The sequence below is a fragment of the Homo sapiens genome, chromosome 4, assembly GCF_000001405.40.
Source record: "Homo sapiens chromosome 4, GRCh38.p14 Primary Assembly".
Taxonomy (NCBI): Eukaryota; Metazoa; Chordata; class Mammalia; order Primates; family Hominidae; genus Homo; species Homo sapiens.
Genome location: NC_000004.12, coordinates 94,455,585 through 94,483,569, shown reverse-complemented (window position 1 = coordinate 94,483,569; position 27,985 = coordinate 94,455,585). Strand labels below are relative to the sequence as shown.

The following is a 27,985-nucleotide window of genomic DNA, read 5'->3' as shown; positions in this document are numbered from 1 at the left end:
GAAGAGAAATTTATAGATTAAAATGGATTTAAGAAATTTACAAACCATCCAAAAGTATGGACCTTATTGGGGTCCTGATTCAAACAAACTTTTAAAAATAATTATAAACATACACATGTATATACTTATGAATGACAATCAGGGAAATGAGAACACTGAGTATCTTATGTTGGAAAGTAAAACTGGCCATGTACTTTTGAACCTCAGTGATGGGTACATTGGGTTTATTATATTATTTATATAATGCTGAAAATTTCCACATTAAAATTTTTAAGTTTGTTTTAGTATGTTTTTAATTAACACTAATTTTACCAAAATTTAAAATTATGATCAGAAGGAAATTAAAAACAAGTCTCTTATTTTGAAACTAATTTTGAGGGGCTACTTTTTCTGATAAACAAGCCATTTTTAAACACATCCTCTCTCCTCACTCACCCTCCCACACAACTCAACTTTTTAAAAGGGCTAAGTTAACCATTCTGTCATAATAATATATGCTTTAGAAGCAAATAAAAGTGATTTCCTCTCTAATTTAGATACTTTCAGAGTTCCAACATCCTCAACACAAGTCAATAAATTCACCAAGGAATAAAAAAGAGTTAATAATTTTTAATCTTAACATTTTGGTGTTCATTTCCCTGTCTAGTACATTTTTTTCTGTATTTATTTTATTTTATTTTAGTGACAGGGTCTTGGTCTGTCACCCAGGCTCGAGTGCAGTGGCACGATCATGGCTCAGGGCAGCCTTGACCCCCTGGGCCCAAGTGATTCTCCTGCCTCAGCCTCCTGAGTAGCTGGGACTATAGGTGCACACTACCATGCTCAGCAAATTTTTTAATTTTTTGTAGAAGCAGGGTCTCACTATGTTGCTCAGGCTGGTCTCAAACTCAAGCAACCCTCCTGCCTCGGCCTCCTAAAGTGCAAGGAATTAGAGGAATGAGCCACTATGCCCAGCCCATCTACTAAATTTAGACAATGATCCATACCACAATTACCAGGTTAATATAATTACAGTAACTAATTTTAAAAGGCAAAGTCCAAAACTCATTATTAGACATTCATTACTCAACAGTCATTTCATTCTCCCAAAACTAAAGTAAATAAAAAAGCGAAAATGATGACAGCTCTTTGCACACTTGCACATAAAAAGCAAATAACAGAGATGCACAAACCAATATTGAACTCAGAGATATTTATTAGTTAATCTCAAAAGGTCTTAAACTTAACCAAAATTGGGCTGGGTGCAGTGGCTCACACCTGTAATCCCAACATTTTGGGCACTGAGGCAGAAGGATCACTTGAGCCCCAGGAGTTCAAGGCCACAGTGAGCTATAATTGCACCACTGCACTCTAGCCTGGGTGACAGAACAAGACCTTGTCTCTTTAAAAAAAATAAATAAATAACCCAAATCACAACATGATATGCTAGACTCTGTAATTTAAAAAAAAAAAGGGAGGTAAAATATCTGTGAAGTGGCTACTTCACAGATGATTAAAAATAGAAGTACCCTATTAAGGAAGTAGAAAATATAACACTTTAAATAAAATTTAGAATATTACTGTAAATTGGTACCAAATTTAAAGAAATCCAGCACAGACAAGGCATTACGGAGAAAAGACCAAGATTTCTCAAAGCATAAGTAAGCTTTAAAAACTGGAATAATGGGCCACGGTGGCTCACACCTGTAATCCAAGCACTTTCGGAGGCCAAGGTGGGTGGATAACGAGGTCAGGAGATCAAGACCATCCTGGCTAACACGGTGAAACCCCATCTCTACTAAAAATACAAAAAAATTAGCCAGGTGTGGTGGCGGGCGCCTGTAGACCCAGCTACTCGGGAGACTGAGGCAGAAGAATGGCGTGAACCCAGGAGGCAGAGCTTAAAGTGAGCGGAGATCGCGCCACTGCACTCCAGCCTGGGTGACAGAACGAGACTCCGTCTCAAAAAAAAAATGAAATAAAATAAAACAAAACAACAACTGGAATAATGGCTGGCAGCGGTGGCTCATGCCTATAATCCCAGCACTTTCGGAGGCGAGGCAGGCAGATCACGAGGTCAGGAGATCGAGATCAGCCTGGCCAACACGGTGAAACCCCATCTCTACTAAAAATACAAAAATTAGCTGGGCATGGTGGCACATGCCTGTAATCCCAGCTACTCAGGAGGCTGAGGCATCGCTTGAACCAGGGAGGCGGAGGTTGCAGTGAGCTGAGATCGCACCACTGCACTCCAGCCTAGCGACAGAGCAAGACTCTGTCTCAAAAAAAAAAAAAAAAAAGGAATAAGCTGTCTTTATCAGCATCAAGATAATGCAGCAACCCCACACAAAAATTAATTCCAGATGAATTCCAGAGTTTGAAAATATTGAAAACTTAGAAAAAGCAAATGACAGGGTATTTATTAAATATTTCAATGGAAATGACTACCTAATCTTTTAAGATATTTAAAAATGTAAAGGAAAAGATTTGAACAAATGAAAATAAATTTTTGTATATCTAAAAATACATAAACAATAAAAATGCAGAGACCGGCAGAAATATGCACAGCAAATACTATATAATAACAGCTTAACATCATTTAATATCAAGGTTCATAAAAACCAAAACCACATACAGTATAATTATTTCCTTCTTACACAAGGGATCTTGAGCCATGAGGGAAGAGGAGTGTTTAAAATATAAAAGGACTAATACGATCAGTTTTGGGGCTGGGGGATGTAAACCTTTTTTGTATTGTCTGTGCTGGCAGCTGTCTCCTCACTCATATCTTTTCCCTGCTTTTCTCTGCCCTCTCTGTATGACAGAGAACTATATTCCCCAGGCTCCCTTCCTCTCTCTGCTTTGTGGATAGGTCCCACCAATAAAAGGCAATGGCAGAGGTCTGAAGGGTAGAAGGAGGGGGAAAGCCTTGGTATTTCTCTCCCTTTCTGTATCTTCCCTAAGGTTTCACCCCTGGTCAATCAGCCCCTGGCTCTACAGTCCCAGCTCCAGACCCATGCCTTCTCTGCAGTTTTCACTCCTGCCAGACAGACCCACAGTTGGGCTCTGGGAACACCACTTCTTCCCATCATCTCTCTGGGTCCCTAAGGGTGGCAGTGATTACCTGCTGCTGCTCATCTCTAGATTGCCCCACCATATACCCATAGATCCTGTTTGATTTCTCTGCTCTACCAAAACCGATTTTACCAATGCCTTGTAATAAAATTTCCTGTTGAAAACATCTAGAGTGTTTTTGTTTTCCTAACTGGACTCTGATTCATTTAATTCCCAAATCAAGACCTTAATGGTAAGTTTCAATAGAAGACACAGGTAACTCAAGTAAATGTTTACCATATCTTACTTTTTAGAAAAAATTAAGAAAATTGAGATGTATAAATTACTCATGATCTAGAATTACTTAACACTAACCATCTTATGTATATTCTCTATGGTCCACATTTATCTAAAAAGTAATCATGGTGAGTAAGAGAAGTCATATTTAAAACATTTTTTCAAAGAATTGAATAAAAAAAGACAGCTGCTGATTTAGTGATCTTCTACTAAATGAGCTTTAGCTCTAGGCTCCTCCCAAACCCTTAACTTTTTCCTTCTCTCTCCTTCCCCTAGTGATATTTTCTCCAGGAGCAAAAATAATTGAAAGCTGGTGAAAGGCAGTGGAAAATGTTACACAGAACCTTGAAAATTAGACTTACATCAACTTTTGCCAGTATACTTCTGCCAAGATTAAAAAATCAGGATCGAAGCAAAGACAAACACCATAAAATGATGACAATATGGGTGAGAAGAGATAAATAAGCAGCATGTAAAAAAAACACAAGATATGATAGAATATTTTACCTATGTCCATATTTCACGTATATCTTAAAATGGAATAATCTAAGAATGGTTTAGTTTCTCATCATGGTTTGCCTTAAAACAATCCAATATACAAAGATCTCTGGCCAGGCGCAGTGGCTCATGCCTGTAATCTCAGCACTTTGGGAGGCCAAGACAGGCAGATTGCTGGAGCTCAGCAGTTTGAGACCAGACTGGGCAACATGGGAAAATGCCATCTCTACAAAAAAAAAAATAAAAATCAGCCGGGCATGGTGGCACTTGCCTGTAGTCCCAACTACTTGAGAGGCTGAAGTGGGAAGATTACTTGAGCCCTGGAAGGTCAAGGCTGCAGTGAGCCACGATTGTGCCACTGCACTCCAGCCTGGGCAAGAGTGAGACCCTGTCTCAAAAAAAAAAAAAAAAGTCTCAAAGCTCTCCTTATAAAAATTCCTAAAAGCGCCATTTTGTCTAACCAATAATAGGAAATAAATAGAGCAAGAAAAAAAAAAAGTACTGAAATGGTGGTTTTGGTGTGTTTTACAAAATGAAAAACAGGCTGGGCACAGTGGCTCATGCCTGTAATCCCAGCACTTTGGAAGGCCGAGGTGGGAGGATTGCTTGAGCCCAGGAGTTTGAGGCCAGCCTGGGCAACATGGTGAGAATCCTGTCTTTACCAAAAAAAAAAAATTATCCAGCCCCGGTGGCACATGCCTGTGGTCCCAGCTACTCATAAGGCTGAGGCAGGAGGGTCATTTGAGCTCAGCAGGTTAAGGCTGCAATGAGCTGTGATAGCGCCACTGCACTCCAGCCTGTGTGACACAGCAAGACCCTGTCTTAAAAAAAAAAAAAAAAAAAAAAAAAAACACCAAGCACACCTACCTTCTTTTGGATAGAACCCAAATTCATTTAAACCAAAAAAATAATTTTAATGAAAAACAGCACTGTCTTAAAAAATCACTGATTCTATATATTTCAGCAAGCGGCCTACCATTTCTGCTTAATAGCCTAATTCAAGCCTAACTGAGCCATGACCTGTACATTTGTAATAGTAGTTTAAACCATTTTCTACTTGTCACAATAATAACTTCCTTTAACTTACGTGCCTAACTTGGTATCAAAAGTAAAATAAATAGACATAAAAATTAGCAGTCACAAAATCAAATATTTTAAATTATACTACAAAGGAATTGATGCCATAAGTAGAATATAGATTTCCTTGATTAATAACTTTACATTGACTTTTAAGGAGGTTCATGAAAGACTATACTAAAATAAAATTTTATAAATACAGTTGACTCTTGAACAACGCGGGGATTGGATGTGCCAACCCCCATCCCCATGCAGTTGAAGATTCATGTATAACTTTTGACTCCCTAAAAACTTAACCACTAATGGCCTACAGTTGACCAGAAGCCTTACTGGTAACATAAACAGTCAATTAACATGTATTTTGCATTATATATATATTAATACTATATTCTTTTTTTTTTTTTTTTTTGAGACGGAGTCTGGCTCTGTTGCCCAGGCTGGAGTGCAATACCGTGATCTTGGCTCACTGCAACCTCCGCCTCCCGGGTTCAAGCAATTCTCCTGCCTCGGCTTCCTAAGTAGCTAGAATTACAGGTGCCAGCCACCATGCCCGGGTAATTTTTGTATTTTTAGTAGAGACGGGGTTTCACCATGTTGGTCAGGCTGGTCTCGAACTCCTGACCTCATGATCCGCTCGCCTCGGCCTCCCAAAGTGCTGGGATTACAGGCGTGAGCCACTGTGCCCGGCTGATACTATATTCTTAAAGTAAGCTAAAGAAATCATTCCTTTTAAAAAAGCATGAGAAAAAATATTCACTATTCACTAAGTGGAACTGGATCATCAAAAAGGTCTTCATCCTTGTCATCTTTCTTCATGTGGAGTAGTCTGAGGAGGAGAGGAGGGATTGGTCTCACTGTCTCAGGGGTAGCAGAGGCAAAAGAGGTGGAGGAGGTGGAAGGGGAGGCAGGACAGGCAAGCACAGTTGGTGTAACTTTTATTGTAAAAAATCACCATATAAATGGACCCATGCAGTTCAAACTCATGTGGTTCAGGAGTCAGCTGTATACATAAAACCATAAGCCAAAATGTATTAACTTTTTTGTTTCATTACATTTCTTCTATTACTGACCATTTTAAAAACTACTTTAAAATAAAAGCCAGTCTTACTCTTTTCCTCCAAGTTTCAACGTTTAAAGAAAACCATGAAGAGAAGTCAAAAAGGCCAATTCCAAAAAAGGAAGTATCTCTCAGATAACACAGGTCACTTTCAATACTTTAAGAACATTTAAACACACAAATCAAGAAAATGTTCTGTAAGGTTACAGAAGTGTATCTCCAAGCTGGACTGCATGCCAAAATTTACTAACTCATATTAACTTAAATTGTCCTTTTACTGCCTCTGGCTTGAAAACCTTTAAAACTATTTCCTAAATACCAGGATATAGCAGGGCTGGCTCTACGAAGAGCAGCTATTGTCAAAGGCCACCCAAGATACCCCAAAGGCAATATGGCCAGAAAAGAATGGATAACTGCCAATAGTAACTCCACCCAGATCTCTAAAACCAATACTTCCTTTCTACCACTCTTCCCTCACCTCATCTCCTTCCAACAGACACAAAACAATACCATGCACAAACTTTTGAAGACATAGAAGCTGGGAAGGGGCATGTGTTGATGCTTGAAGTAAACACTAAATCTCTATCTTAAAATATTAACGATCATAGAATCCATACTAACATTAAAAACAGTTTATATTTATAATTGCACAGTCTGCCAGATAATGTTCCAAGTGCTTCAAAAATAGGAACTCAATATTCACAGGAACTCTATAATACAGGCATACTGTTAATAACTATTTTACAAATAAGAAAACTGAGACCTTGAGTTTTATAACTTATTCTAGGTTACACAGCAAGAAAGTGTCCCTACTGCGATTTGAACCCACGATGGCTGGCTCCAGAGTCCAAACTCTCAAGAGTTGGGATATCCTGCCTTTGTATCCCTGTATTTGTTACATCTCCTCTAAACTATTATAAGCATGAAAAATTTAAGTATGAAACCAATACTGCAGAACAACAACCAACCAAAAAAGGGATGATAAAGGGCTTTCTATACTCATGATGGAGGAAGATCCAAGGTGTACTGTTACATAAAGAATGTCAGAAACGTGTCTGTTTTCACAAATATTCATAAAAATGTCCACATTTCAGGTTTGGCAGGGGGTTTTATTGTTTTGCTTTTAGCATTTTTGTTGTCATTGTTTCCTATGCAGTTTCAACTGGAATATATATATGTATAATTTTTATAATCAAAATGTAAATTTATATTTTCTTCCTCTAGTTATAAATTACTATTTATAAAAAAAGACAGCGAGAGAAAAGGACTAACTCTTAATTAAAATATAACAATTCTTTAGGCTTTACTTTTACGTGTCCAGAAAGGTTTGGGTTAACTAAAAACAAAGTCACATTCTTATCCACCCAAGATAAAATATTCATAATATGTAATTATGAATAATACACAATCGCAAATAATGTGTGGGCAGAATCAGGTTTCAGTGTTCAACAGTTAATACTAAATTATCAAGTGCATCCATACTTTATTCTCATGAGACATGTAGGCATGAATTATATTTATGACATATTTGTTTTTAGCTTAGAAACGATACAACTTCAAGAGTTACCTAACAGTTGAAATGACCTAAGAGCAATATATAGCAAATATTTACAGTGATTGTGTGTGTTTTAAGAGAAGGCATAACAAAACTGCCTTGGGGTTATTGAACTGGGAGGTGATTTGCCAATTCTGACAAACTTTACACTGTCTTGAAATATAGAGGCTATGTCCTGGTAAATCTGTTCAATTTAGTTAAAAAATCATATTACCATAATTAAACAACCCCGAGGTAATTTGTAAAACTCCAGGTAAATATGATACTATTTTTTCTCCTATTTTTTAACCATCTTAACCATTTTTAAATGTATGCCATTTTAAAATGTGTAGTTAGTAATGTTAAGTATATTCATATTGTTGTGCAAAAGAACTTCAGAACTTTTCATCTTGCAAAACTGAAACTATACTCATTAAACAACTCCCTGTGTCCACCTGCCCCTTAACCCTGGTAATCACCATTCTACATTTTTCCTACTAGTTTTTATTTTTATTTTCATTTAAAGAAAGACTACAACTTTTAAGTTGAAAAGAATTAACCCTAATGCAAATACTCATCATCATTTCTAGGGAAGGGCACATTGACCATGAAACTCAAGAGTCCATTGTTTATTTGCAAAAAATCTGAATTATCTAAAAACCAAATGTAAGACCTTAAAGAGCCTGCTAAATCAACTGCCAATTTTTGTTGAAGAAAGTACTTCCTTAACAGAATTACTGAAAATTAAGTTTTAAAACTGCTACCAACTCTAGAGAGGCATATCATCTGCATGGCATTCAGAGCATTACCATTAAACTGAATTTAGAAAGTAGTTCTCCATTAGAATAAGTCCCTCCTTTATACAACAACCTCCTTTGAGGAGAAAATTTCTTGCATTTCTTGCCCCTCCTTTAGGTAAAAAAAAAAAGGCGGGGGAGGGCAGAAGTTTCATTGACCCAAAGGGTAATAAAGTTGATTATAAAACTTTTCAGTGGGATAACTTAGATAATTGTCTAACGATGATAAAACTTGTCTTAAAAGGAATCAAAGTTGATATGAAAAATAATTTGGAAAAACTGCCCCTTCCCAAGAAAATACTTAGCTATTATTACTGAAAATGTCAGCTGGCTTCAGTGGCTCATTTCTGTAATCCCAGCGCTTTGCTAGGCCAAGGCAGGAGAACAGCCTGAGTGCAACAGTTCAATACCAGCCTGGTCAAAATGGCAAGACCCCACCTCTACAAAAAATTTCAAAAAATTAGCTGTGCATGGTGGCATGTGCCTGTAATCCCAGCCACCTGGGAGGCTGAGGTGGGAGAATCCCTTGAGTCCAAGAGATGGAGATTACAGTGAGCTGTGATCTTGACTGCCTTGGTGCCAGAGCAAGACCCTGTCTCTAAAATATACAAATAAGAAATAAAATTTTAATAAAAATAGTCTAATGACTACCACGGAAGCCAAGACAATTGGTCTGTGGCTACCACTTCACCAGATAAAATTAGCTGTCTTCAAAAGGTGTAAATGGGCCAGGCATGGTGGCTCACACCTGTAATCACAGCACTTTGGGAAGCCAAGGTGGGCAGATCACCTGAGGTCAGGAGTTTCATACCAGCCTGGCCAATATGGTGAAACCCCGTCTCTACTAAAAATACAAAAATTAGTCAGGCGTGGTGGCGCATGCCTGTAATCCCAGCCGCTCGGGAGGCTGAGGCAGAAGAATCACTTGAACCCAGGAGGCGGAGGTAGCACGGAGCCATGATCGCACCACTGCACTCCACCCTGGGCGACAGAGCAAGACTCTGTCTCAAACAAAAACAAAAACAACAATAAAAAAGATGTAAATGAAATGTTTTAATGATCATCCACTGAATGACACCAAAGTTTCCCAAGAAAGCCTTCTGAAAGAAAAATTTAAAAAGCAATTTCAAATGTTATTTCACAAATCCCTAAATAAACTAAAACATTCAACATGCTAATATGCCTAGAATAATCTGCATGTTACTTTGGTGATTACCCAAAAGATACTAAAATTTCTCAGCCTCCATTTTCAAGCTGAAATCTTGGTGTAAAGACAAAAATAATTTTATTTCACCTTGATTTTTAAAGTGAGTATTATTGTTAGGATGATGACAATGAAAATAAATTAGTCACCACTCCATAAAAATTATCACTGAACTATGTATTTAATCTGACTCCACTTCTCATTCATAATCAGTTACTCTTCCTACATATCAAACAACAGTACCAAGAATGCAAATATCACCACTGACAACCTTTTAAAACTTCAAATACTATTAATAATTAACATCAGTCCTTAATAAAACAACATTGCAATCAGCAGAGACTTCAAACTTGAGAGAAAATATTTACTGCTTACCAAAAACAAACAAAACACCCACTATGTTGACAAGACCTTATTTTAATCCAAGGAAAAAGAGCTTCTGTCCCATCAACAAACCATAGCACAGGATTTAATTTTGAGAAGTATCTACCTTCAGCTCTCTAAAATCATCTGGGCCAGGCGCGGTGGCTCATGCCTGTAATCCCAGCACTGTGGGAGGCCAAGGCGGGTGGATCACGAGGTCAGGAGTTCGAGACCAGCCTGACCAACATGGTGAAACCCTGTCTCTACTAAAAATACAAAAGTTAGCCTGGCATGGTGGCACAAACCTTTAATCCCAGCTACTTGGGAGGCTGAGGCAGGAGAACTGCTTGAACCCGGGAGGTGGAGGTTGCAGTGAGCCAAGATTGTGCCACTGTACTCCAGCCTCGGCAACAGAGTGAAACTCCGTCTCAAAAAATAAAAATAAAAAAAATAAAATCACCTCTTACTATTCTCCCTCTCATTCTGCCTACTCCAGCCATCGGAGCCTTGCTGTTCCTTGAACATGCCAAGCAAATGCTCACCTCAAGGTCTTTACCCTTTGCCCTGAATACTATTCCTGGACTTTATCCAGATCTCTGCTCAAATGTCACCTTATCTGTGAGGTCTTATTTGCTCACCTTCTACAAATTATGTAAGCCCCATGCAACTGCCACTCTTTCCCTATACCTCTTTGTTTTGCTCCATACCATTTTATCACCATTTATTTTTGTTTACTGTCTCTTCTTCACCTCCCTAAAACATAGATTTGAGAGGGCACAGACTTTGTTTTATTCACTGCTGTATCTTTAGTTCCTAGGACAATGTCCTGCATATAATAAATGTTCAATAAATATTTGTGGAATGAGTAAATAAATCAATGGAGTGAGCAATAATAATTTACATTTATATGACTGAAGTTCAGATTTGCTAAATTTTATAATTTATTTCATAAAATTCACAGAGGTTGTAACCAGTGTGACAACATACAAATCTCCCAACTTTATCTATAAATGCCGCATTTAGGGAGGCACTCATCCTAGTCTAGCTGGCCACCACCAGGGATGCAGGATGGCAAGATAAAGAGCATGGTGACCTCTACCCACAGGCAGCTGATGCTGGAAAAACACCTAGAAAGCAATAGTACAAAAGGCAGGTACATTGCTTAGTTCATCTAGTCTACATTCATTCCACTTACCTATTCTGTCTTGTGAATTCATCCTTCACTGCAGAAAACTATTCCCTAGAGCAACTGCCTATCACCAGCAATACTGTGTTTCATGCTACTTTAAAAGAATCTAAAACAAAACAAAACAAAACAAAACTACACTGAATGGCAATCACTGTGGAAAGAATGTCTAATTGGAGGTACTACTGGTGCCAACTCTCCCTTCAAATCTCTTGGAGAGTTTATGCCAGACCATGACAGATGGAAGAAGGAAATGGACCACTCATTCAACAAATATTTACTATGTACTGACTATAAAGAAGAGACTTCATAAGTAATTCAATCCAAACCTACAGGGTGCGTGTGCGTGTGTGTGTGTGCGCGTGTGTGTGTGTATTAAAAAAATTGCTTCTAGAAAATCCTACATAAAAACCTTCAAAAAAGAAAAGCAGAATTGAATTTTGAAGATGATATTATCTAAGAAGTGAGGCATCTAGAAATATTATTTCAATAATAGTTTCAAAACTGTTTCAACTCCCTATTACTAGTAAATACTTATAAGGTCTTTATAAGTACAAATACTTATAAGGTCTTTGTAAGTACAAATACTTATAAGGTCTTTGTAAGTATAAATACTTATAAGATCTTTGTAAGTATAAATACTTATAAGATCTTTGTAAGTACAAATACTTATAAGGTAACTTACAATGTTATTAGGTAACCTTAACTGAATACTTACTGTGTACCAGGCACTTCTAAAAACCTTACAAGTGTTAATTTATTTAATTTTCTCAACAATCCTATGATGCAAATATTTTTACCCTTATTTGACAGGTAAAGAACTTGGGGCACTGTTCAGTAATTTGACCAGTGGTAAATTACAGCTGGTAAATTACACAGCCATGATCCACACACAGGCATTCTGTTCCAGGGCTGGCACTTGTAATAACTACAATCAACAGCATGTAGAATACAGTTCACTAAAAATGTAATTCTAAAGTATTATGTTGGGAGAAAATATAAATCCTAAAAGACTGCTATGAAAAAAGCAAGAAAAATACAGTACTAATATATTAGTTTTGATAATATAATGTTTACAGATATTTGACTATTCATCACTATATAATCATGGTTAACTGAAGTTTTTTTTTTTAAGCCTAGAAATTTAAGTACTATTAGATTACTTTAAATCTAAGATAAAATCTTTTACGAAACTATCTCTCAAGTAGACTTTATGGTGTATTGTGTTATCATATTTAATATAACAGGTAATTTATAAGTTGGTTTTAAAGTAGTATTTTGCAACTATACCCCAAAACTCACAGAAAAACTTGCTACCCTGAATTTATAAAAAGCTGATCTTGAATATTGATATGGTTTGGCTGTGTTCCCACCCAAATCTCAAATTGTAGCTCCCATAATTCCCACATGTCATGGGAGGGACCTGGTGGGAGGTAACTGAATGATGGGGGCGGGTCTTTGCCATGCTGCTCTCATGATAGTGAAAAAGTCTCACGAAACCTGATGGGTTTATAAAGGGGAGTTCCCCTGCACATGATCTCTTCTCTTGACTGTCGCCATGTAAGATGTGACTTTGCTCCTCCTTCGCTTCCACCATGATTATGAGGCCTCCCCAGCCATGTGGAACTGTGAGTCAATTAAAAAACCTCTTTCCTTTATAAATTACCCACTCTTGGATATGTTATTAGCAGTGTGAGAACAGACCAATACAAATATGAAGTATGAAGTTACATAATTTACTACTTCATAATGTAGACATTATTATCTACTACTGAGGACCTAGAGCTATATGATACTGATGACATTTTTGTCAATTACAATGTTGAAGGCTGAAAATCTGAATTTACTGAAACTAGACATTAACTCTAATCAAGTGATCTCTCTGAAAGTTCAGAAATGAAAAACATATTAAAACTTATACACACCCTCCACTAGAAATAATAAAAGGGTCATAAAATGTAACTCTTGGCATTGGGTATATTAGCCAACCAATTGGCTAAAATATTCTTTTTAAAAATAGATATACTGTAAAAATTTTTTCAGCTCAACAGATCTGACCTAGAATAAACATCCTAACACTCACTTTGTCTTTGAGGCAAATTCTAATAAATGTGTTACCAGCATAATTTGTAAACAACTCCTGAATGTGTATGCAACATTTCTTTATTAAAGTAGAAAAGGTCGTAACATCACAAGGAAAGGAAAACAGAAGCCATCTGGGAGACAAGCTACATCTAACAATAAAAAATAACAAAATTTAGGCCAGGCACAGTGGCTCATGCATGTAATCCCAGCACTTTGGGAGGCCGAGCTAGGCGGATCACGAGGTCAGGAGATCAAGACCATACTGGCTAACATGGTGAAAACCTCTCTACTAAAAATACAAAAAATTAGCCGGGTGTGGTGGCATGTGCCTGTACTCCCGGCTACTGGGGAGGCTTAGGCAGGACAATTACTTAAACCCGAGAGGCGGAGGTTGCAGTGAGTCGAGATCACGCCACTGCACTCCAGCCTGGGCGACAGAGTGAGACTCTGTCTCAAAAAAAAAAAAAAAAAAAAAAAATTAAAAGAATGCAAAATAGGAAAAATATAATCAGTGTGCAAATAATGAAAAAAAATCATGTATGTGTTAGAACTATAACTAAAAATTTTCAAGACAAACATATATTTAAATGAGTGTTTCACTTCCAAATAGTCACCTCAGAAGGCTATACAGTTATTCCTTTGCTCAAAAAAAATTTTAAATTCTTGCCCTGGAATTTCTATCAAAAGCAATTTATGAAACATACCAGCCTGGAGATATGGTCAGATCACCATAATAGTAACCCACTCTCTCTAGCTCAGCTCTAATCCAGAGGAATCAAAATCCATCTAAAATCCCCAGGAGTTGTCCTACCATGGCCTCCAATGTTATCCTCCTCATTACCAGGAACCTCTTTATCTCTCACCCTGGCACTGGACATACTCCCTATTCTCACTCCACTTTCCTCCTTGCTCACAGCATTCCTGCCACACTAGCCTTCTTTCTATTTCTTAAACACATTCAGCTCTTTCCTGTCTCAAGGCCCCTGCACTTGCTAATCTCTGTGCCTGCAATGTGTTTTCCCAGCTCTTCACGTGATTAGTTCTCATTCTTAGGTCAATGCTGCCTCCTCAGAGGGCCTGTATTGACTGTCCAATCTAAAAATGAAACTCTTACCCCTAAACACCCATCCCTTTCCTCCAGTTACTCTCTGGCACATCACCTTATTAAATTACATTGCTTATGTTTTTTGTTTTTTTTGTGTGTGAGTTACCATTCCCCCTTACTAGACTATAAGGTACATAACTTTGTTTTGTTTATCACTGTATTTTCAGTGCATACAACAGTACAGAGCACATAGCTGGCACTCAATAAAGATACAGAATAAATGATTCTGTCTGCCACTACTACTTTTGTGTCTGCCCCATGGGTTCTATAAATCCTAGTCTAGAAGTTCCCTGCAACCCTGACACAGGCTATGTGATCAACGCTCATCTTTTCCTTTCCTAGATCTGATGACATTTATGTCCTCTCCTATGTCCAATCTCCTTCCTACATTTCATATCATGTGCCATGTGGCCTTTGTCAGAAAATGGAAAAGCACACTCTATATCCAAGGCCCAGAACATGGTAAGAGATCAATAAATATGTGTTGACTAACACCTCTTCTTATGGCTCTGACATGTGTCATTCAGAAAACCATACCAACAGGACATAACCTGCCATACTGAGAATTTACCCACTTCTCCTAAAAGATAGTAAGTAGTAACAATAAAATCGACAAGGACTAAGTTTGACTACACCTCAATTATGTTTTTCCTAAATTTATTCTCATGAGTCTTTGATTTCTCATCCAAACACACACCACAGACATATGCACCTAAAAACAAAACAAACAAAAACATCTGCTTCTCTTAGGCTCTCCTAATCTCCATATTATGTCCAGACAAGCCTAAATATGCACATGGACAGAGCACAGACTAGGTTTAGTTTTCTTTCCTTTTTATGTCTTCTCTTAAACAGAAGACATAGAAATTGTAAAAATTTCAAGCAGTACAAAAGTGCACAGATGCCAGGCACCGTGGCTCATTCTTGTAATCCCAGAGGATCACTTGAGCCCACATGTTTGAGACCTGCCTGGGCAACAAAGCAAGAGCTCATCTCTACAAAAAATGTAAAACATTAGCTGGGCACAGTGGCGCACACCTGCAGTTCCAGCTACTTGGGAGGCTAAGGCAGGAGGATCGCTTGAGACCAGGAGTTCAAGGCTGCATGGAGCTCTGATTGTGCCACTGCACTCCACCTGAGTGACAGAGCAAGACCCCATCCCAAAAAAAAAAGTGCATAGAGGGAAAAAAGTGAAAGTTCCATCAAGCTCATTGCTCAGAACAGCTTCTAAATCCCACCATCAAGTCATACAAAAATCAGTTTCCTTACTTCATAATTAAAACTTTGCATTGGTCTTAACATATCTGAGGTATTAGGTTCAGTTCTAGGAGTTGACTTAAAGAGACAATTAAAACCTAAACTACTTTTAAAGGTAAATGCTAAGGGATGTGAAGATAGGGAAGCTGTCATGAGAGAAACATTTGAAGAAATGGCTTCTTACAGAATATCCACAAGACTCAAAGGGAAATATAACTCATTCCCCTGTTTGAAAGGCTGTAATGTGCAAACATGCATGTTTGTTGTGCAGGGCACTAAAGAAAAGAAGTAGAACTGTTGGGTCGGAAAGACAAAAAACAAATCCTGGCTGACACATGGGAAGACCACCTTGGGAAGTAAGGGTCTATCATATAATGTAACCTCTAGGATACTTCCTAGAAACTTAAATCCTGATTAGGATTGAAAACAAGGAAAACCAAAATGTTTCATTAAAATGTCTCATTAGGCCAGGCACGGTGGCTCATGTCTGTAATCCCAGCACTTTGGGAGGCTGAGGCGGGTGGATCACGAGGTCAGGAGTTCAAGACCAGCCTGGCCAAAATGATGAAACCCTGTCTCTACTAAGAATACAAAAATTAGCCAGGCATGGTGGTGGGTGCCTGTAATCCCAGCTACTCAGGAGGCTGAGGCACAGAATTGCTTGAAGCCGGGAGGCGGAGGTTGCAGTGAGCTGAGATTATGCCGCCACACTCCAGCCTGGGCAACAGAGCGAGACTCCGTCTCAAAAAAAAAAAAAAAAAACTTTCCTCAGTTAATTCTATCAATCAGGTACATTAACAAATCTAGAAGAAACTTGATTGCAATGGCAACCCAGCTTCCCATTCGTTCTCTATTACCACTGTGATCATTAATAGTTACTGAACATGTACTGGGAATTCTAAAGTAATCTTGAATAAATAAGACTCGGGGGTTTTCTTGAGTGATAAGAGAGGCTCATGATCTAACAAAATACATGAACTATTCATTATACTTAAACTGTACTGCTGTGAAATCTAACATGGAGTCCAAATATTTGAATTGATCTCTCTGGCCATGGCCTTAAAAGACTGTAACTTGTTTGTTTTAACTTTAATGAAACCACTTTATCATGAGGTGTAAAACAAAACCTAGTATAGCCAAGGATTTCTCTGTAAGTCTCTGGTAAATCTAACATTCCGTATTAACTGTTAAAGCATTAAAATATTATAAATAGCATGCCAATTTCAAAGTCCTCCAAATCTTTCATTTGTCATAAAGGTGTTTACAGCATCATAAACGTAACTAATACCTGACATCATATATTATTAAAACTGCCATTTACTTCTATAAAAGACTTGACCTATGGTGACTGAACTCTGAAAAATCAGGAAGAGGCTGGCAGTTAGAGAAAAGCAGATCTGTCACATTATTTAGTCAACTCCAGTTCAAATTCCAAGTAACTTACCCTTAACATTTTTGCTGAAATGATCTAAGTAACAAAAGCTCTATAATAAAATTTTTTTTTTGTTTTTACAAAAGCAAAGCTACATATGGTTCCCAAACATAAGTATACAAAATGGAACCCAACTGGTGCAGGTGAAACATCTAGAAAGCATGTTAAAAATGTGGAATCTAATGAATCCCTAAATATCCTAAATTCAAAGTCTGTGTCAAAGTCCTTGGATCCACACTTTCAAAGTCTCACTGATGATTCTGACTACTAGTCAGTCTGGAAACCAGTTATATATTTTTTTGTTAATAATCTCAGTTACTCCCATACATACAAGTTTTTGATTCTCTAGGATCTATTCTCTGGTTAAGAAACACACAGACCTGGCCCAGTGGCTCAGGCCTATAATACCAACAGTTTGGGAGGCTGAGATGGGAGGATCACATGAGGTCAGGAGTTACAGATCAGCCTGGGCAACATAATGAGACCCTGTTTCTACAGAAAATTAAAGAATTAGCCAGGCATGGTGGCATGCACCTGCAGTCCCAGCTGCTTGGGAGGCTGAGGTAGAGGTAGGAGGATCACTTGAACCCAGAAGGTCAAGGATGTAGTGAGCTGTGACAGTGCCACTGCACTCCAGCCCATGCCACAGAGCAAGACCCTGTCTCAAAAACAAAGGGGAAAAAAAAAAGAAACAGACACACACACACATACACACACATACACACACATACACAAACACACAAATTTGGCTATCTCTAGTGAGAACTGTCATCTATTCCTCGGAAATAAGAGCATAACAGGTAAACACATTATTACTACTCAGTTTGGCTGGTTTCAAATCCTGAGCCTAACCAATTATCAGCTGTGTAACTTTGGGCATGTTACTTAACCTCTCTGCCCCTCAGTTTCTTCATCTCTAAATCAGAGATTTAAAATTGTACTTCCTGGCTGGGCAAGGTGGCTCATGCCTGTAATCCCAGCACTTTGATAAGCTGAGGCGGGAGTCAGGGGTTTGAGACCAGCCTAGCCAACATGGTGAAACCCCGTCTCTACTGAAAAAAAAGAAAAATACAAAAATTAGCCAGGTGTGGTGGCACAGGCCTGTAGTCCCAGCTACTCAGGAAGCTGAGGCAGGAGAACCGCTTGAACCCAGGACGTGGAGGTTATAGTGAGCCGAGATCATGCCACTGCACTACAGCCTGGGTGACAGAGCGAGACTCCATCTCAAAAAAATAAAACTAAAATAAAATAAAATCACACTTCCCCATGGGGCTGTTATGAGAATTAAATAATCGAACATGTACAAAACATCTAGAACAGGACCCAAACAGTAACAAGGGATCAATAAACGTTAGCATATTTTCATTATTATCATTATTATTTAATACAGGAAAGAAAGGAGACCGAATTGAACTGGAATAGTCAAACATTTCAGAGAGCAAAGGATACATGAATGTTCCTAGAGGAAGAGATAGGGCTTTAGGGATGATAAGAATAAACAAAAGTAGTATGCAAAAAGAATAAAAAGACTAAGAACTTCAGGGTTCAAAATTGGCATTTTGGACTATAAACTCAAGTTATATTAAACGGGCCCATTTATATGCAACTTGAAAACCAACCAGAGAAATTAAGTAATAATTCAAAAGATAATGGGAAGCTCATACAGTTCTTAAATAAGGCAGTAATATATTAAATATAAGTTTCTAAAATTATTGCCTAGTCAAGATGCTAGCCTGAGGATAAGGAACCAGCCTGAAGGAGAATAAGCCATTGATGAATTTTGGAAATACTTTTGTCTGCTAAAATAGCAAAGAATCACTCAGAGAACTGGACACCAAATAACCAGAATCTTCCAGAATAGACAGAGGTACATTTAAACAAAACAGAAACGTCTACCCTAAAAAGATCAAAACAACCATTTGTAGGATATTTGCAAGTGAGTAGCATAAAGATACTTCAAAGGAATGACCAAAATCATGGAAATTATATGTGTAACACGATAGCTAGCTAGCTAGATATAATTTCTTTCTCCAGAACATTTCTAAGGGGTCCTAGTTAAGGGACAAAACATTTGTTTTCTAAAGGACATCTGTCCTCCGGTAACGTTTTCTCAGAAGAAAAATACTTTCAGAACAAACATACTTTCAGAACATAGTCTGCTCTGGCTAGTGTTATACAGCCTTACTAAATCTCTTAATTCTACCACTTCCAAAAGTTAATATCCCAGAAATCATTTGAAAAATACTGGGCTGTTAATTAGATCTCAATGGAACTGAATCACAACACTTAAATCCCTGATCCAATCAATGGTAAACAGCATTAAATTGTTAATGTCATTACCGTAACTACTTTCTCTTTTCTTCAATTAAAATTTAGCCAGGACAATTATCATGAAGTACAGTGGCCATTGTTAAATCAATCTCTGGACCTTGGGGAAAAAAATGTTTAACAATTCACAGAATCCAAATAACAAGTGTTGCAAATTCTTCTCTAATTCAAAACTCTTCTCATCATATTTAACATTTACAGCAACACACTAAAGAGAAATTCCTCCTTTCCTCATCTTTACTACAAAAAAATATAAATATCCCTGGCATCCTTACTCTTTTTGTTACTATAGTTACCAACACATACACTCTGCTGCTCACACTAGGCTAAAATGAGTAACTACCTTGTGCCACACATTAGTATACCTTCACAATGCCTGACTCACTATGCTACAGAACACTCTATAAACCTACCTGATTTCAGTTAACTTCCATTAGCTAATAAAGGTTGATAATAAAAACACACTGAGTCTCATAAGGGTGAAATTTGCCATTCCTCGGACCATAGTGAACACCTCATAATGGTCAGTCTCCTTGTCACATCATTTAAAAGGAGCTAAAGACTAGAATTCAAAACCACACATACAGTTGACCCTTGAACAACACAGGTTTGAACTGCACGGGTCTACTTACAGACAGATTTTTTTCAATAAAAGTTACACCAAGTGTGCCCAACTCTCCTGCTTTCTCCTGCTTCCCTTCCACCTCCACCTAACCTACCTGGCACACCCTGAGACAGCAAGACCAACCCTTCCTCTTCCTCCTCTTTCTCAGCCTACTCAAAGTGAAGATGACAAGAATGAAGTCCTTTATGATGACTCCCTTCCACTTAATGAACAGTAAATATATTTTCTCTTCCTTATTTTTAAATGTTTTCTCTAGCTTATTTTATTCTAAGAATACAGTATTTAATATTATAACATACAAAATATGCATTAATCAATTGTTTATATTATGGGTAAGGCTTCTGATCAACAGTAGGCTATCAGTAGCTAAGTTTTGGGGGAGTCAAAAGTTACACATGGATTTTTGACTGCACAGGGGGTTGGTGCCCCTAAACCCTGTTTTGTTCAAGGGTTGATTGTATATCAGCCTACTGAACAGATTCCAAAGTTAACAACTTTGAATCTATTAAATGTGATTTGCTTAATTTTCCAAAAAGTCTATGACAGGGCACTATGCCAAAAACACAAAATCTTTTGCCATGTAACTGGGAGTAATAGGTTAAGATAGAGAGGAAGTTAGTTTAGAAATGGGAAACAAATGATGGAGATAATTACTAACAAAAGCTCTGGACGAAAGAATTCAGAAAATGGCATCTTTAAGAAATTAATGGTATCATTTAAAGAAGAGCAGCATGTTTTTATTTCCTAGATTATCTTGCAAAATGGAAAACAAACCACTTGAAAACACAGAAAATCCTTTGTAAAATACTTGTGACTGAGCCCTGTAAAAAGAAGACAGGTGGAAACTGGCCCATCTGATTGGAAATGATCAAGGTCTGTTGAAACTTAGGCTAGCATAGGTATGGGGAAATAGGCATCCTCATATTATGAGCAGGAGTGTCTCTATAAAGACGGCAATATCAGTCAAAATTACAAATGCATACACCCTCTGACTCATCAATTCCATTTCTAGGAATTTATGTGACAAATATACAAATATACAAACATATACACATATATAGGCAAAACTTAAATTCAATGTCAGTAAAAGCAAAAGACTAGAAAAAATTTAAATGTCTACACATATATATATACATATATGGGCAAAACTTACACTGCAGTGTCAGTAAAAGCATAAGACTAGAAAAAAATCTAATTGTCTATCAATAGGAACTGATTTAAAAAATTATGACAAATCCAAACACAGTGTAGTGGTAAAAAAGGAATGAAGAATGAAGATATATTTACTGATGTTGGGTTAAGTGAACAAAATGCCAAAAAAAAAAGTATTTCTATTAAGCATACTATTTGTGTTAAAAGGAGGGTGGGGAGGAGATATACCTATAGATTATCTCTGGAAGTATACTACTAACACAGGTGGCTTCCAGGAGGAGGAAATGAACAGCAGGGCACCAGGAGACATTTCCCCCTATACGCTCGTGTATCTTTTGAATTTTGAACCATATGAATGTCTTACCTAAAGAAAATTAAGCTGGGTGCAGTGGCTCACGCCTGTAATCCCAGCACTTTGGGAGGCTGAGGTGGCTGGATCAAAGGTCAGGAGTTCGAGACCAGACTGGCCAACATGGTGAAACTCTGTCTCTACCACAAATACAAAAAAATTAGCTGGGCATGGTGGCGAATGCTTGTAATCCCAGCTACTCAAGAGGCTGAGGCAGAGAACTGCTTGAACCCAGGAGGTGGAGGTTGCAGTGAGCCGAGATCGCGCCACTGCACTCCCGCCTGGGTGACACGCTGCAGCCTTTTAAAAAGTCCTCTTTATTTTTTTCTCTCATCTAACTTTTTCTTTCTCATTCCCTCCTATTAACATTTCCAGTTCATTTTACTCTCCTCTATTTACGCCTATTAGGGACATTTACTACAACTGCTTAGCCCAGTTGGGAGTCCAGTTACTAAATGCCAACAAGGTTGGTGAACTCTGTTCTAGTAATTGTCATAAAAAATGGGTGACAACATCAGCTATAAAAGAAATCTGAGTATTTACAGAAGGGTAGATAACTATACTTAAACAGGAAACAAAAAAATAAGAAAGGTGAAGGAATAAGGGGATACTCATTCAATATTCTCTGCTTTGTCCATTCTTAGTTTATTACCTTTAAAAAAAAAACCTCTTAATAAAAACAAAGTACGCTAGAAAAGTGATTTTTCCCTCTCTGTTAATTAAGGAACCAAACCTGCCTTCTCAACAAGACTATATAGTGGCCCAACACATAGAATACCTAAAGAATCAGTAGACACCATGGTCACTGCTCTTTAGTTACTTAATGTTTTCTCTTTTCATTTCCATTAGGTCATTTATTTGCAAACAGATCCACATATTGTTATTTCACATGCTAATATCTAGTTTTGTCAAATTTTATGTCACGTACTCAATATTTTTTGCATCTCAGATACTGAAATAAAGGCCTAGAGTCTCATCTGCCAAAGTTGAAACATAATTCTCTCTCATACGATGCTAAATAACTCCTTTTTTGTCTAAAGCAACGTTTGCTTCTAGAAATAACTAAATCATAACTGATTTGTCCTCAATACAGTTGTAACTGGGGGAAAAAGATATAACTGGTCCTGTGGTATATGGGAATCTGGGTAAGAACTACTGCTAACAGGATGTCATAGACAAAGACCACTGTTCAACTGTGTATTCACATGTAGTGTGACTAGCAACTATCATAAAGAAAAGCTCTTTGCCTCAGAAGTTCTAAAAAAAATTGAAAGCTCACAGGCTCCAAATTATTAATAATAATCAAATCTACCTGTATACTTTTTAATTTATAAAGCATTTCCCATACATCAAAGAAAATCAGAAGCTCAAATTAATGAACTGATTTTCCAGCTAAGATTTAAATCCAAGTCATTCCAATATACAGCTGTACATTATCTATTATCTATCTATTCTTAGTTTAAGTAGGTAGATATACCTAACTCACGAGTAGATGAATAGTTACATGAAAACGTTCTTTCCCAAGGTCTAAAGTGCTATTCTTACCTTTTTTTTTTTCTTTTTTTTTTTTGAGACAGGGTCTGGTTCTGTGGCACAGACTGGAGTACAGTGGCATGACTACAGCCCACTGTAACCTTGAACTCTTGGTATCAAGTGATCCTCCCACCTTGTCCTCCCAAAATGCTGAGACTACAGGAGTGAGCCACTGTGCCCAGCCTGCTAGTCTTATTTTATCCAAACCCTACATCGGTTTCCTCCATCAGATACAAAAGTCCTGCCTACCAGTAACATTTCTCTGAATAACTTTTCAAAATGCCCAACGTTTACTAAAATCAAATAAGTGCGTTTTTTTCTAAAACTACTAATTTTCAATTAAAAAATATAAGATTTTCATTTCTTTACAAATCATAGAGCAGAAAAATTTATCCAGAATTACATTGAGATTCCTGACATTTGTGACCACAAAACATATAAAACTGCCACATGGGAAAAGACAGGTCTCTGAACTTCACACAAAAGGTAATTAATATTTTTAAAGCAGAGTGAACACACATGTGAAATATACATCATATAGTTATACAAACTAAATTAATTTTCTAACTTGGCATAATGACAGGGTAGCTTGGAGGGAATATAAAAGAAAATACTCAAGAGCTTAAAATTAACAATGGGCCCATTTATTCAAGGTAGGATGGCTCTCTCATTTCAGCTTGAGGACTGAAAGTCTTTCTGTCTTCCGGTAGGAGGGAAACTGCAGCTGGCAGGTCTGGAGAATCGCTCAACTACATTCACAGCTTTACTTGGAGTCAAGCAATGGCAAGAAAAGTCTTCATCTTCACTAGGCACTGGACAACACGGAGAAATGCTGACTTTGAGGTGTTTAAATTTCATCCTTTGAGGATCAGTTCAATTAACTTCTCCTAAAGGAAACCAACCCCCACAAACAAAAGATTTACACCCACTGAAACTGAGAAACACTTATCAGAATCTGTCATTTCATAGAATATTGACTTGTGACAGGTCTTACGACACTGTCTAGTTCTATAGCACTGTGCTTATTTCTTTTCCATCCAACCTTTGTACTCCCCACTTTGTATCTTCTTCAGTGGCTTCTAGGAAGTATTACTATAACTACTGAATCAATGAATTCATAGCAAAGTGTTTCACAATTCTGTCCTTCTCTGTTCTGTGTTAGACTCCCAAACAGGGCTCCATAATCCAAGCAATAGTAAGTTTCTTCTGCTTTTCAAATCCAATTAGAATTTTGTCCAAGCTTATAACAATTTATCCTCCCCTAACTCTTGAGAATCAAAGTCATTGTTATTTAGATGTTAAAAAGTTTGACCTAATTCTTATCTCTTAAAGAAACATCTAAAATGTGTTTACAGAGAATTGGGATATCATCTTCAGGTAATCCAAATATTGACAGTGAAGAAAAGAGCCCAAACATAATGAGAAAGTAACACACAGCAGAGTATTTCAACTTTAGGATATAACAACTTAAAAGATGTTACTCACAAATATATAATCTTTATCAACTGGCCAAAATATAGCCTTGAATTATCCAACAAGTCTCCTATTTCTTGTTATAAAATATACTGGCAAAAACCAACAAACCCACACTGCTACAATGAAACCCATCCTCACATTCCATGGCTTCAGGGCAATTCCATAAACACAGGATCATAAAAAGACAGCCTGCAAACTTAGGTAGCCCGCACTCCATTTTAAGGATCGGAAATTAAATGACATGTGATCATCCAGCTACAGCAACCTGAGGATCTTTTTAAAAAGCTAGCAGGAACTGGCAATCTTATGTTAGAAATCCACCAACAAAACAGTATACAAAATTCATACAATACAGATGATGAAGAAATTTGAGTCCAACGTGAAAATGTTATAGCTTGTATGCTTTAGGATACAAGTTGTATTCAGCATATTCACATGCTGATACAACAAAATCTAAAGAAAATGGAATGTTCAAGTCCCTGCTAGTGGCTTATCTCATAACACAATTCGATACACCAGAGCTCCAGTGTTATAAAGGAATGTAAATGACCCTTTGGAGTTCAACATAATAATACCTAATCAGAGGAAAAATTGCACAGTTTTGAACTCTAAAGATGCAGATTCCCAGCTAAGTACAAACTTCTGATTTTTTTTCCTTTCTTAATTTCAGTGGACAATAAGTTTAAAAAAACAAAACAAAACCATAACTGTATGTTCCCTACAACTACGGGGGTTAAATATTTAATGTTTCAAGTCTCTAAATAGTTTTCTTTTTAAAGTTTATAATATTATTATAAAAGATAATTGAGAGACTGCCAGACCTTGCTAAGAATTTCATGTGCATTATTAAAGTAAGTGAATCATTAAATTACATGTTTTAAGCATGCTTTCAGGTTTTAATTGTTTCTTGATACTATTAATTAAAGAACCTGATGACCAGTAATATCCCAGTAATTTTACATAATTAAGGCAGAAAAAGTATAACCAAAGAACTAATTAAGATGAGAGTAAGTTAAAAATTTATAACATTAACAATCTTACCACAATATAAATTAGTTATTAAACGCAAACCTTTATTAGGCAATGTTACTAGGCATATTTAAACCACACAAGGGGTTAAAAATAACTACAATGAAAGGCCAAGAGCCTAGCAGCCCGATTGAGCCAACATTCCCTTCTCTCCTTCCCCTCCCCTTCCAATCCTCTCCAGTCCAGAATGAATTGCATGCCCCACTGCACAAGGCCCAAAAAGGTCACAGTAGATGGCAGAGACTTTTGTAAGAGAACAGAAATAACTCAGCAGCTTTGTTACCATAGTCTCTTTTAATCAGTATGTTCAAAATCCTTTAATTAGCACTCTGTCTACACAAGGAAAGCATTTCTTCTGTGCCAGGGGAGGGCACATATGTATGTACACAGTGTTCTGTTGTATCAGCATCACAACATGGAGCTAGTACCTCAAACTGTCTGCCAGGAAACTGAAGCACATGAAACTTTTTTAAAGACACGGTACCACAAAATTCGCAAACATACTCTATTTGCATTTCTATTACCACACAACAAAGTGATAATTAAGTTTGGCTCATTTAGGTGTCAATTTGTTTCTGAACTTTTTTTCAGCAAAAAAGTAAGCATTTAAACTAATAACTTTCTTTAGATAATTAAAGTAGAATATTTAAAATATAAAATGCTAACAAAACGTAAAAACCAATAATACTCAAAGATTGCTCCTGTTCCCATAATAGATCATCAGTAGAAGAAATAAAATACCAACTCACTCAAACAGGAATAAATCACATGACACATTTTCACATGGATGCTTTACATTTAAAATTTCATCTAACCATGAAAGGTGTTAAAACTTGCAGGCTGGATTACATATATATACTTCCTTATAAAATCTAATTAACTGAAATCAAGGCAGAAATTGATGATAAATTAAAGATAACTTTAAAAAAATCCACAGCCAAGAAACAAAGGAGACTCCGTTAGTAAAATGGGATTTGCAGTATTTTAATAAGGATATTTAGGCGTTACAAACTTATTTTTAATCTTTCAAAATGAAGTTGGATACACATACAAGATGCAGAGTATGTGTGTGTATATATATTTATACATACACATATATTATTAACCAAAATGACAATCTTCTAAATATCTGATTAAAGAAACAACTAACTAAATTTAAGGTAAAGTGAATTATTAAAGAGGCAGCACAGCATAACTGTTGGAAAGCCAGCTCTTCCATACAGTCATGTGAGCGCACAGCACAGTTATATACAATGGGAATAATATCACTATTTTGCATGTTGGTATGATAATTAAATGAGATGATGCATTCACAGCACTTGATAAATATCCAAGTTTGTTGGTAAGACTGGCACAAAAATAGTATTTTCATGCGTTGCACAAAAGTGTAAATTGGCACAACCTTTCAAAATGACGTAGATACATATATTCACATATATATGTATGTACTTATATTTGGTATTCACTGTACCACTGTAACAGTAATATGGAAATGCCACAAATACTCTTCAGTAGGGGATTGGTTAAATGTCACTTTCCTTATAAAATAAAATTATACAATTGTTTTAAAAAAACACACATACCTCCTTATATATTAATAGAGAATGATCTCAGGGTAAATTGTTGCAAAAAAAAGCAAAGTATAAAACAGTGTGGGCCAGGCACGGTGGCTCACGCCTGTAATCTTAGCACTTTGGGAGGCCGAGGTGGGCAGATCACCTGAGGTCGGGAGTTCAAGACCAGCCTGACCAACATAGGGAAACTTGGTCTCTACTAAAAATACAAAATTAGCCAGGCGTGGTGGCACATGCCTGTAATCCCAGCTACTCGGGAGGCTGAGGCAGGAGAATCGCTTGAACTCGGGAGATGGAGGTTGTGGTGAGCCGAGATTGCGCCACTGCACTCCAGCCTGGGCAACAAGAACAAAACTCTGTCTCAAAAAAAACTGTGTGTATAATATGCCACCATTTGAGTAAAAGAAGATGGAAATTCATATTTATTTGAATATGCAAAAACAAACCTTTTAGAAACTTATATAATAGTAATAATTACCTACTGGTGATGAAAGTGAAACAGTACCTGACATATAGTCAAGTCTCAATAAATAGAAGCTTTAATTACTCCTCTCATCAGTGCTATCATCATCATCATGAAAACATATCCTTAAAATATATACACAGAATACATTCAAACTAAATCCATAATGAGGTAAAAAGCCAAATCTCAATTATTCATAGGCTATCTAGTTGGAGCTCCAAGCCCTTCATTTCCTCTTCAAGGGTAAGTAGCTTTTGGCCATCTTACTGTTGGCTATCACCTCCACCAGAAAGTGAGCTGAGGAAATAATTCCGAAACAATCATTTTATTCAATTTTGATCAACAGTTTTTAACAAACAGCTTTTGGAACTGAAAGAGATTATTAAAATCCCATAGCACAACCTTTGAAAATTATATATGAAAGAACGAAGATTCAGAGAATTCCCCAAATTAGGGACAGTTCAAAAATGTACAGTCTGTTCCTAGTTAAATGCTTTTTCCATTTTATTATTGATAACATGGGGGAAAACG

General features: G+C 37.1%; 1 protein-coding gene across 10 annotated transcripts in view; it reads right to left on the bottom strand.

Moving 5' to 3' along the window:
- Positions 1–27,985, bottom strand: part of PDLIM5 (PDZ and LIM domain 5) — a 216,282-nt gene that overhangs the window by 184,654 nt on the left and 3,643 nt on the right. The window contains exon 3 of one of the 10 annotated variants that reach the window (NR_046186.2): positions 26,386–27,751. The exons of 8 other annotated variants lie outside the window; for them this stretch is intronic. Coding sequence is in view for 1 of the 2 variants with exons in the window: in NM_001256429.2 (NP_001243358.1) it covers positions 27,012–27,326 (315 nt within the window). In the remaining variant the exon portion in view is untranslated. Of the gene's footprint in view, positions 1–26,385; positions 27,752–27,985 lie in introns of those variants that run through there. One more of the 10 variants, NM_001256429.2, reaches the window with a different exon arrangement.